The 13292-nt window shown below is 36.8% G+C and overlaps 1 protein-coding gene across 16 annotated transcripts in view; it reads right to left on the bottom strand.

Moving 5' to 3' along the window:
• Positions 1-318: 318 nt before the first annotated feature.
• Positions 319-13292, bottom strand: part of SYT1 (synaptotagmin 1) — a 588027-nt gene continuing 575053 nt past the window's right edge. For all 16 annotated transcript variants that reach the window (NM_001135805.2, NM_001415940.1, NM_001415943.1 and 13 more), the window contains 2 exons: positions 8121-8254; positions 319-3409 (listed from right to left, as the gene is read on the bottom strand). In NM_001135805.2, coding sequence (NP_001129277.1) covers positions 3203-3409; positions 8121-8254 — 341 coding nt within the window. In that variant the 3' untranslated portion in view covers positions 319-3202. The remainder of the gene's footprint in view (positions 3410-8120; positions 8255-13292) is intronic.

The raw sequence follows: 13292 nt of genomic DNA, 5'->3' as shown, positions 1-13292 counted from the left end.
GGGTTCTGGAGTGAAAACCCTGAAGGACACATGCTGGGCAAAGTGAAAAGCCTCAGAGTACGCCAGATGAACTGATGACACACAGGAATAGAGAAACACATGTTGAGAATGACACTGCCCAGGAACACCACGCGGTCATGGCCAAATGCTCCCGGGTGTTGTTTTCCCTCTAGCTATTCTGTACTCAGATGTGACTCAGATGCTGGCATTCAGTGCAGTTTTGTTTAGCTGCTGCTGCTTCCAGGAGTCCCCCAAAGTCAATAGGCCATTGGCTTACCACCAGAGTCAGGCAAGGAAAAGAGTGGGAACGCAGCAACATCAACAGGAAATAAAACATTTTTATTGAATATCTGTGTAATATGTTAAGTCATTTTTAACAACAATCAGAAAACTACTGTGGAATTCACTACACAAAGTGAAACAAAATTTAAATCACCTCATCAAAAATGAAGGTAAAATACAGCTGAAATAGTTGGCTCGCAGGCCACGAGCCATATGGCAGAGGAAAACACCCCAACATTTCTACAAGATACAGGGAAAACCCACACATAGAAACACTCAAGCAGGCAGTAAATATACACAAAGGCAACTAGGATCTTTCTAGAGCATCAGATTCTAATACTTTACACAGCTTTGTCAGAAGGGTACATGTGGCTTATTTGAGGATGAATCTTGGTCATAAAGCAGGTTCCATCACTGACTTGTGAAAGAGTGAAAGATGGCATAGTACCAACTAATTCTATGGTGACAATCCCATGTCTGGCAGTGTTGCAAGAGAATGCATTAGTGGTATTTTAATGCAAGAAATAATGTCTATTCAGCAGCTTGAACCTGCTTGTTTGAAAGTGTGGTTTCATTGTGAACAACTTAAAGCTGAATACAGTGAAATTAAATGTCATTTGTGGTATTTAAATACTTTTTAAAAGCCAGTCAACTCCCTCTCTTTGGTAGGGTTTGGCCCTTTAAATTGGAAAGAGTCTTGTTTGAATTTTCTGTTCAAACCATTATTTAATTTCACATTCTGACTTGTGTATATTTTCTATTACCTATGTTTTTTAAGAAGTACGGACCATCGGCAGACGGTTATTTTCCTTTTATCCTTTATGTCTATGCCAATTATAAAGCGTTTGCTATGTCTGGCCTAAAAGGCAAAAGAGCTTGCCCCTTCTTTGATAAGGAAACAGTAACGACAGGAATTCCAGTTTTACTGGGAAACAGCCAACCCCATGTTCAAAGCCTACCATCAGCCCTTTTTGAATTCTCTTTAGTTTTTGAAAAGACGTGGTGTGATATCCTGAAGACTGAACATGAGGCCAATGCTTAGTTTTCCTCCATTTTGTTTTGATATTTGTGAAGACAAACTTTCATTTCAGAGCATCACTACTGTCTTGTGGCCTGGAAATTAAAATGGATCACAGAAGTGAATGGGACAAAAGGCTAGATGCAGTGTGGGATAATAGGCTGCCCTTCCACGAAATGGTTGTCTACCATAGTGGGGAAAAATATGGAATATTGCACAGTGCTTGACAAAATGCTGTGTTCCACCCCATTCTATGTATCTTCCTTGTCCTATGCATAGCTTTTCAGTTCTGAATTGGTCCTTTGTAATGAGAACTGTTTGTGCTACACACACCTTGGGCAGTGCAGTAGAAGGGAATGGCAGTATTGTTACAATATCACTACGGAATAAATTGAGTGCTATCCACTGAGGAAACTACGGGTCTAAGCACACACGGCAGTCACAGTGTTACACAGAGCAGTCCTTTAAGACTCTTATGGAATGACTAGTAGCTTCATAATAGTGTCATTTACTACATAATAACATTGAAAACGTTTAAAAACTCCTCCTAAATCAAGCATCTAGTATACATAAGAGGTTGCTTCAGTTTTCTAGAACTTGTTCTTGGTTTGTTTCACCTTTTTTTAAAGGACAAATTAAAACTTAAGTAAAAAGAGCATATAAAAAGATCACTAGCTGTCTGTTTTGGCTTAATTGAAGTGCATTCAGAACTATGGCTAATTGTTGTTGGTTTTTGTTTTTGTTTTTCTTTCATCTTTTGATGGGATTACAATACTGTCTGTTTACCACAAAGTAATTTTGTGTAATAAGCACAGATTGTTGTGTTAAAAATATCCTGCATTCCTTCTAACCTGGTTTTATATAATAAAATATTTTGTTACAAACTCTAATGTGCAAACCTTTTGGAATTATTGTAGGTGTGAAATCTGGAACAGAATTCACAGGATGTACATTTTGTATAAAGGTGATAATGGAGAGCTACTTTTTTCTTTTTAAATAGTCAGGCAATATTTCATAAATGTTGACTTCTCCCCTTAGCTTCTTCTCCCCCATCCCCAAACAAATGTGCACACACACACACACACACACACACACACACACACGGAACACCTTGTTGTTATTCTATATGCAGTAATATGAAATCATTGACTCCTGTTCAGTTGCTTCCTCAAATATAAGAGTGAAGCCATTATTTTAGCTTTGTAAATATGTACAGACAGGTGCTATTCTGTTTTGTGGCTATGCTTCCTTGAGGTCAGCCTGGATGCTGCTGCTCAGATCATGCTATTTTGCCTGTGTAGGAATTCTACAAAATTGGATTCACCCACCAAGTATGTGGTGTAAGTTTATCTTGGTACTCAAATGATTCAATAGAAAGCTCAGGTTTAAGTTGTCCTTTAAGATGTCAGTTTAACTGTACTAGTGCCTTACGAGTTGATATTTTTGCTGGAATGCAGACGATACTATATTTACCGTATAATATATTATCAGCTCTCCTATATCTCAGTCAATTTACATAGTTTAAAATAGAACATCTTATTAAAAACATCTAGATATACACAGATTAGGAAACGCTTACAACATACAAATACACAAACTAGAAATAAATCTTTAGCATACTGGTATATACAACAGTGTGATACAATAAATAATTTCATTCATGCTCTATCTACACATCATATTGCTTAAAAGAAGAGTAGATTTGGAGGGCAGTGGTATGATGAAGGACTTAGGGGCTCTCTACATTTAAATTTGTGCAAATTAAAACAGGATTCCAAGTACCACTGAATTGTGTTAGGAATGCATGGCTGGAAAAATGAAAGGACCCATATTACTGAGGTATTTACAGATACTGGCTAAAGAGCACTATATGGGCAAATGCAGAAAGGCTTCTTCTTTCCTTTACTTCTTGACGGCCAGCATGGCATCAACTTCCTCCTCTACCTGCAGGGTGTGCCACTGGGCAATAGGTCGCCTGGGGTTGGCCAGCATGTCTGACCAGTGTCGCAGCTCCGCGCCGGTGCTGTTGTAGCCCACAAAGACTTTGCCGATGGCATCGTTCTTGCCAATCTTGTCATAGTCCAAAACAGTTACCACCACCTGCACTTTCTGAAAGAAGCCATGAAATGAATATGAATCATCTAGCTCTAGAGATAAGGCCCGACTATAAAGCGTCCTTGAGCGCTAAAGAATTGGAAATAGAAGAATCAATCTCCAAGCACTAGGATGAGGATGAAAATGACTTGAATCTTAATACTCAAACGTTAATTTTTATTATATACTTTGCACTAAGTCTTTTACATGAATGAACTCAGTTACTTCTCATAATAGATCCTATTAATATTGCCATTATACAGGTAAGGATGCTTGAAGCTCTGAGAAGTTATATAACCTGTCTGAGGTTGTTTAAGGAATGAGTTGTTTGGTTTTCAGAGCCTATGCTGTGAACCTCCATGCCATGGAGTCTGTGTCAACTTGTGCTAACCTCTAAATTCATTTGCTTCAGTTGTCTTATCAGTGAAAGTTCTGGCATTGGTGTTCAGCCCACTCTATTTGATTACAATTCCCAAGGCAACCATGTGCAATAATCTGATTTTAAGGGTGGGGGGACAGCATGTTACAAAAAAATTAATATAGAATTAATATAGAATTTCAACTAATCATATGATTGTGAGCATAAAACATGATAGTATAGTGAAAAGTATGGTTAAAAAGTAGTAATAAAGATATTTTTTTCTCATCCATACGTTCTCTTAGTAAACATTTACTGAGTAACTACAATGTATCTGGCATTGATATCAAATGGAAATATCAGTTTAGGCTACACGGGATTTATTCAATGATTCCATCAGATTTTGAAAGTTTATTTGATGACTTCCTTTTCTGAATGATTGAACTGATGAAAGCAAACCTATACCATTATGGTATAAAATATATACTTTTTAAAAGCAAATTTCAGTTCTACTTCCTAAGTAATGAATTTACTTAGCAGAATATGTGATGGTTTCAATCTAGCAGCTGAGTGTAAAGGTAAGAGTTTAAAATAAATGGAATATGTAACATTTATTGCCAGAGTTGAAAGTAGCAGAAAATGTAATTATAAAAGCTAGGGCCAGATTAAGAACCAGCTGAGTTAGGGCCCTTTAGTGGACTTTATATGCTGGAGACTGGTTTATTATATTAATGAAATGAGAAATGTCATTGATATACAGCTTCAGAGCAGAGAAAACAATCACTTCTGCAAGTGGAATTTAGAATGTGAAATGCAACACATTGTCAATAAAACGGACAATCTTCCCTTGGAGTGATTCCATTGTGAAAGGAATTAACTATCCACTGGATAGTTTCTGGAACAAAGAAGAGGGCTATACTGATTCTTAGAGCTTGTTCTAAGCAAATTTATCAGGAAGCAATCATATTGTAATGAATGGGGTGGGGGACATGACACACAAAGGTAACAGAAGTTTTTAGAGTTTGATTATTCCACTTAGGAATGCATTGATTAGTAGCATTCAAGACAAAATATCCTTGTGAAGCCTTTGGATTAATGTTTCCAGCTGCATATGTAGTTTATTTCTACATTTGGGGGAGAAGGGCTTACATTCTCACATGCATTTGGAAATTAGCATATTTTGCTTCTTTCATAATACATTTCATAGGGATAGAGAAAGACAGAAGGACAGGCAGATTGTCTTATAACCTCAGGATAAGGCAAACTTAAGACCCTATTTTAGCATGTGAAATACTCAATTATTTTTTTCTAGAAAAAGGTGAAGACTAGAAAAGTTGCCTCCTATAAAAAAAGGAAAAAAAAAAGAACAAAGTGACTCAAGGAGCAGAGAAAGAGGGATACAGTCAAAGGAATGCTCATTATTTCCATGTCTAATGTATTCTATATTGGGCATAGTTTCTGTCTGTCCTGACAAAACGCTATTGCCTCTGAAATGCTGCCCCAGAAACCTAGCATGTGTCTTATTTTTAATGTGCTTCACTTTCAATATACCTGCATTTTCTGCAGTTTGTAGTTGAAAAGGATATTTATTTTAAAGGCATAGAATTGTAGCTCAATGGGAGTTTTCATCTCAATGCCTTGCTTTATATTTATTTTGTGGAATTAAAAAAATTAAATGCCAGGAGGTGTTAGTTTCCATAGGAATAAGGTCTTAGAACTCAAAAAAGTTCACTGAATAAATATTGCAAAATAAATCGTTGGAAAAAATTGATGTCTTGAGGGTTTGTGAGTGGGTCCAAAGCAGGGGGCCCGCTGGTTCAGGCTAGTGAAAAAGTTATTGGGAACAGGGAACCAGTGTCCTCTGCATTTACTTATGTAACAGATGTTGAAAGTAAATAAGTATGTATAATTTGACACCATGTGAAAATTTATATGATAAAGGTTGTATTTAAAACTATCAACCAATACAAAGATGGTAGAGTTATTGGTTATTTTTGGTCATTTAAGACTGCCCTATACTACAGAGTAGCTACCAGCCACATCTAGCTATATCAATTTAAATTTAAATACATGGAAGTTAAATAACGTTCCTTGGTCAAATTAGTGACTGAGGTGCTCATTGGCCAGCTGTGGCTATCATATTATTGGACAGCATGGATGATAGAATATTTCAATCATCACAAAGTTCTATTAGACAGCACTGATTTATATACTGATTTAATCTTATTGTTAGATCTATTTTCTAATAAAATGTTAACTTGAAAAAGAGAGGACATTAGCATGTGAATAATAATGATGATGATGACAGGACCATTTACTGTGTGTTCCTATGTATTGGGCGCTGTTCCAAGTGCTTTTATATGCATAATGTCACTTTGACAAGGACTGTTATCATTCTTATTTTACATGTAAAGAAATTCTAAGCCTCAGTTTTTTCACATATAAAATTAGGATAATAACAATAGTACTTTTCTCATAAAGTTCTTCTAAGTATGAAATGAGATTACATACATAAAGTGGTTAACTTGGACCTAGGCATAATATATATATATATATATATATATATATATATATATATATATATGTCTTTGGATTAATGTTTCCATGAAGAAAGCTAACATAATAGCTATACTTATTTTATATATGTATATATTATATAGCTATACTTATTATATATATAAAATATATATTTTATATATATAAAATAAGTGTAGCTATTATATTAGCTTTCTTCTTGGAATAAAGCTGTGATTAATTCATAAGATACTGTCTTCTAAGAATAGATTAAAGGTAAATGAAGACACAATTTGGCATATTAAGAGTGGTATGGCACTATTCACAACAGCCAACATACAGAATTAACCTAGGTGTCCAACAACAGATGAATGGATAAATAAAATGTGGTACATATACACAATGGAATACTATTCGGCCATAAAAAAGAATGAATCCTGTCATTTGTGGCAATGGATGGAACTGGCAGACATTATGTTAAGTGAAATAAGCCAGGAACAGAAAGTAAACACTGTATGTTCTTACTCATGTGGAAGCTAAAGAAAAGTTGATATCATAGAAATAAAAGGTAGAACAAAGGATACTAAAGACTGGGAAGGGGAAGGTAGGGAGAGATTTGTTTAAGGATATAAAATCACAGCTACATAGGAGGAATGAATTCTAGTGTTCTGTACCACTACAGGATGGCTATAGTTAACAATAACATATGATATAATTTCAAATAGCTACAAGTAGGATATTGACTGTTCCCAAGACAAACAAATGATAAATGTTTGAGATGATAAATATGCTAACTACTCTGATTTGATTACAATACATTATATATATGAAAACATTACTATGTGCCCCATGAATATGTACAACTACTATTTGGCAATTAAAATAAATAAAATAAAATAAATAAAGAGTATTTGTTATTCTGGACCTTTAGAAGGTTCTTTGTTGTAGGTTTGATGTCTGCTCTTTGTTTTTCCTTCAAGTTATGGGCAAACTTGTGTATCACTGAAAATATACACCTGCGCCAATTATTTAATAAAATGTAAAAATAGTGTTGCTTTATGCAGTTTGACTCTCTGATGCCCATTAAAGATTTGCAAGAAATGGCCCAAAATTATTGGATATTATCTTTAGATTCTTATAGGCTAACTATGGAGATGGGGTGAGAAAATGTAAATATTTTCAAAAACCCCTAAATGATAAGATTGCATGTTATCATTGTGGCTACATATAGCAACTTAATATGAACATATTAACTACAAGGATATTTAATAGAATATTTCCCTTCATAATTATTGTCTGGCATATTAAGGCTCCATTTTTAATAAAATAGCCATCCATTCCAACTCAGACACAGGAAGCTGGATTTAAATAATTGAAAACACAACTTAGCCTAATTTTTCTATTGTTAATCATCTTTTAATAAAGACTCAATATGCTGCATATTTAGCATCAACCAAAAATATTTCTCTTATCACTATTTTTTGCTCTAAAGATCTCATGGGGAGACTTATTTATGGCCTGGGAGTAAATAGTGAAAGCTCATAGTTTTCTCTGGGCTTTTTAACTTTTATAGATGCACTTTTTGAGTTAGCAGAGTTGTTCTGTTGATTTTCTTTTTCCTACTTTATTTCTGCTCAACACAGTGCCAGCTGTTTTGGGCTGATGAGTCAGCACATCCTGTGCTGTATATTTTATCCTTCCTGATGTAGCTCAAGCATCAAATGTGCATGGGGAGAAAGAATGGCAGTTCTAATGAAGGCATGTGCACTGATAACTTACAAGGTCTGTGTGTATAATTTATGTGGTCTGAAGGAATGAAATTGAGTGGGAAGACAAAGTTATGTTTGACATTACCTGGATTTGTTCAAAAGGTACTTCAAAGCTGAATGACTCATTGTAGTAGGGGTTAAGTGTGTTCTTTTTAATTGTTGTCTTTTTCTTCTTCAGCCTCTTACCATTCTGCATCAGATGAATCTTCACATAAGGATCTGAATGAAAAACAGGAAACAAACTTTAGGAGATCAGAGACACATATTTTAGATTATAAGTTAGCTTATAAAAGAACTATTTCCCACAGGTAAATAATTATATAGCATGTATTTAATATTTTTTAAATTCAATACTTTTTTATTGAAATATTTTAAATAACCTATGGGCATGATTTTGCATGATAGCTCAATATTTATAGTTTGATTTAGAAGATGAGAGTAGAGGTATGCTGGTAAACCAGCTCTTTGTGGGAATAAAAAGTCTTAACATGCAGCATTTCCCTATGTCTATGGTATATATATACCCCAACCAAGGCCAATGTCAAGCCACTAAGCTTAACAATTGGCTTGCAAAATCCCTGAAAAATTAACCGTTCACTCTTGTGAGCTGGCAAAGGGCTTGCCTGCAGCACAACACTGTATGGGAATAAAACACTTAACAGAGAGAGGACAAAGGAGCCATTTCATTCATTCATTTATTCATTTACTCCATCAATATTAGTTGAGTATCTATGATGTGACAGGCACTGTTAGGCCCTAGGAATATAGCCTCAACACAACAGACTATCCCTGTCTTCACAATGAAACTTCAGACTGTGGGGGAAAATAGACTAAGTTTATATAGAAACAAAAGACATGAAACTACAAGTTGACAAGAGTGCTCTGTAAGAGAAAAGCAGAATAGAGATAATATAGGAAATACCAAGGATGATATGGTGAGTAGTAAAGTAGGAAGGGAATTTAGGTTTTAGATTGCTCTGTTAAGGCATCTATGGAATTAACATTTAAGCTGAGATGTGAAGGTTGAAGGGTGAGATGAGGCCAACTGAGCCTAAATATTCCTAGGTGGAGAAGAACTTCAAGTGTTCGAGGAAAAGAGAAGAGACCGGTACACACTGAAGTAATGGGAAAAGGAGCATAAAGATCCCCTGAGCAGGTTCCCTAAAGCCCCATTAGGCAAAGATTAATAAGTCACTGGAGAGGCAAGACAATTCCCATTTACAGCTCCCATTACTAATGGATGAATGTTGTACCTTCAGGTCACTAGAAACCAATGCTCACGGTTGAAAGGAAAATCTCTACTGTTTTTCTTAAACATTTTTTCATTTCATATTGTAATGCATGTTCATTATAGAAAAAATATCAGAAAGCAATGATGACCAAAAAGAAAAAAAAATTTAAATCTAGGATTTTACTTCCCTAAAATAACTACTGCGAAGCCTTTCAAATTTTCTTTCCTCTCTCTCGGAACATGTAGAGCTAGGAGAAACTTTCCAGATGATCTAGTCTAATGCCCACCTATTTTTAGAAGAGAAAACTGCAGATGAAAAAAGGGTATTTTTATCACCCTCTCCCTATCCCCAGTAGAACATAATTCCTAAGGGACAGACACTTTGTCTGTCATATTCACTATTTGAATTTGCTAAAACAGTGCCTGGCACATATTCAATTTTTGTTGAATAAGTGGAACTTATTTAGGGCCTCAGCCTGGGTCTTGTGACTCCCAGTCCTGACTTTTTCCCACTACCCCAGAGACTGCATTACTAGGATATATGTTGTTAGGAGATTTTTTTAAATGTTACATCCAGTCCAGGAGATCATAATGAAGATTTTCATCAAAATTAAGAATATCTTTAAAAACCAGGCCTAGAGATGTAAAACCAACTCCACAAACTAAAGAGTTGGTCAGTTAAAAAAAAATCCACTGTAAACAGTTGTAAATGGAAGCAAAAAATGTCACTGATAATCCATGTTACTGTTCACAGCCAATGTTGATTTTTGGTTCAGAGACCTTGTGTGTTTTGTAAAGTTCCCTAGCTCCCCCATCCAACGCCTTGCAATTTTATAAAGCTAGTCATGTCGCCAGTTGTTCTTTGGGACTGATGAAATACATGTATATACTATATATGCCTCCTGTGTTCATGTGTTGAAACTTTGTCAACCTAAGTGAGGCATAGGTTTTCTCAAGAGAAGCACTCTGAGTATCTTGATTCATTTAACACAATAAGTGATAAGAAAAAACCTTGCACATCTGCCATTTCAGTAAGCAAATTAAAACCCAACAAGATAGTTTCAGATTTTGCTAAGAGCTCTGACATGATGTTATTAATGCCTTGGGGAGAATAGGGTAATTTAAAAAAGGTTGATCAGGAAAGTCCTCATTGAGAAGGCAACATTTTAGCCAAGAACTGAAAGACAAGAAAGAACCAGTCATTTGGCTGTATGGTGATGCTTGTACCAGCCAGAAGGAGCAGTACCTGCAAAGGCCCTAAGTTGCACCTCCTTCTGCATGTTTGAGAAACAATGAAGGCAGGGGGAAGAGAGGTAGACGGTGAGGTCAAAGCGTTAACTTAGGACCTGCTGATCTGTTGCTTTTGTAAGCAGAGGCTGTCAGTTCTGATGACTCAGATGTATTCTACTATTTCATGATACATAAAAAAGAGAACAGAGGGTTGGGGGCTGGGTGCAGTGGCTCATACCTGTAATCCCAGCGCTTTGGGAGGCCGAGGCAGGTAGATCACCTGAGGTTAGGAGTTTGAGACCAGCCTGACTAACATGGTGAGACCCCATCTCTACCAAAAATACAAAAATTAGCCAGGCGTGGTGGTGCACACCTGTGATCCCAGCTACTCCAAAGGTGAGGCAGGAGAATTGCTTGAACCAGGGAGACGGAGGTTGCAGTGAGCCAAGATCACACCACTGCACTCCAGCCTGGGCAACAGAGGCAGAATCTCACAACAACAACAACAACAGCAGCAGCAGCAACAACAACAACAACAACAACAAAACAGGGCTGAAAGCGGAGCAGGTTTGGAACTGCTATAAACGGGAAGTCTCGGTCTTTGCCTTCGCAGATTGACCCTGATACAGGTACCAAAGCACTTACGTTGCAGGCAAAATTCCCAACTTAGTCAAAACAAAAGCTGGAAGAAACTTAGGGTTCTTTATCAGCTTTTGTGCCTCGATAAGCCTAGACTATATGTTATGTACCTGGGATGGGCACATTTGAGCATCTTCTTAGCCCAACAATCTGAAGTCTTAGATTGAGTCTCCATTTTCTCCAGTCTTGATTGCCAAGGAACTAAGTGTCTTCTAGTTCTTTCACTGTATTGAAGTCTCGTCCTGAACTTGGGTCCCTTTAGCGATATCCCTAATCTCTTGCTTAGCTTGTTCGTAACTTTTTCTGAGATCTAGACCTTGCTCCTATATCCTCAGCTACTGGTTGAGTTCTCTAAATGGAAATACACCTGCCTATGAGTCACATTTGTGCTTTAAGAATACAATTTTAAAAATTCTAAAGCAAAGATTACCTCTCCTACAAAATAGGCCTCTGGATAATTGAATTTGTTCTGTTTTAGGGGTTGTTCTGCAAAGCGAAATCCTTGTCAGTCTCTTGGTGGCTTAGAAGTCCTTGTGATTGCATAATAAAACACAATTTTATGGAAATAATAAAATAAGATGTAATGAAACTCACAAATGTTGCTCTTGCTTTTCCTGAGTACAGCTGCTGGACAACATGCATAGCATCTAAACATTCACTAGGTTTTCTGAAACATGTAAATAGCATAGGAAACCTGCAACCAAAAAATTGGGCTACTGTCTCTAGGCACTCTATATCTCTGTAACTGTATGGATTCATTCTGTTCCCCAAAACAGGAACTCATGTATGGATTCATTCTGTTCCCCAAAACAAGAACTCATGGAAACCTTCATCATCTAAATACTGACACCCCGTCTTCAATGTCATTTAGATAATCCTTCTTGCCAATGAAATAGATGCAAGACATGGGACACTTCACTTCTTTTGTTTAACTTATCTTAAAAAAGTAGTTGAGTCTCTCTCTCTCTTTTTTTGAGATGGAGTCTCGCTCTTTCACCCAGGCTGGAGTGCAGTGGCACAGTCTTGGCTCACTGCAACCTCTGCCTCCCAGGTTCAAGCGATTCTCCCTCCTCAGCCTCCCAAGTAGCTGGGATTACAGGCACATGCCCAGCTAATTTTTGTATTTTTAGTAGAGACGGGGTTTCACCATGTTGGCCAGGCTGGTCTTGAGCTCCTGACCTCAGGTGATCCACCTGTCTTGGACTCTTAAAATGCTGGGATTACAGAAGTGAGCCATTGTGCCCAGCCAGAAAGGCTGATTTTTTTTTTTTTTAAAGAATTCAAGCCAGTCTATCCTGACTCCAAACCTGCTGCTCTTTGTGATATGTCAGAGAGACAATTTAGTACAGTGTTTACAAGTACAGACTCTAGAGCCAACCTAACTTGGATCTTGGCTCTGCTTTTTTCTAGCTGTGTGGTCTTGGAGAAGTTATTTCACCTCTTTGTGGCATAACTCCCTCAACTGTAAAGTAGTGAAAATGATAATGCCTAGCTCATAAAGTTGTTAAAATTAAATTGAGTTACCACATGGAAAGTGATTCAAAGTGTGGCTGGCACATTTCATTGTTAATTATTACTATGGTTTTATGAGAGGGCTAACATCTAAGTCAGCATCTGTGAATCAGACTCTCCTTCAACTCACTTTGCTGAATTGGTAACCACCATTAGCAAATGGGAAAGAGTCTTCCCATTTGCTGCACAAGTAAGCCAAGCTATCCCAGTACCAATTTATTTCTGGAAAGAAGCATACCCGCTCTAAACAACTGGTTCATTTTGAAGAATGTCATCATGTATGAGATAAAAGACAAAGGGAACATTTCTTTCATTACCACCTATATGAGGTGGTCTCGCAGCGTGAGATGGGAAACTGATTCAACATCCTGTACAGTTTGCTCCTGTTCCTGACATCAATAGATCAAATTACACACAGCTGAAAAGTTAAACTCAGAGTTCCAGGTGGAATCTTATTACTGAGGCTGTAGGATAGTGTAAATCAAAACTGATTTACTGAGCTTCTTTCCAGATTCTGAGGCCAGCTAATGTTGATACACTTAGGCATATTATGCCTGAAGTATCTACTTTCCTTATTCTGCTGAAAATGAGGAATTAGAGAAAAGGAATCCCTCAGGCTTGAGGTTTATTTTTGTTAGAGATGTG

This window comes from Homo sapiens, chromosome 12, assembly GCF_000001405.40.
Source record: "Homo sapiens chromosome 12, GRCh38.p14 Primary Assembly".
Lineage (NCBI taxonomy): Eukaryota > Metazoa > Chordata > Mammalia > Primates > Hominidae > Homo > Homo sapiens.
This window is presented reverse-complemented; position numbering and strand designations above follow the sequence as displayed.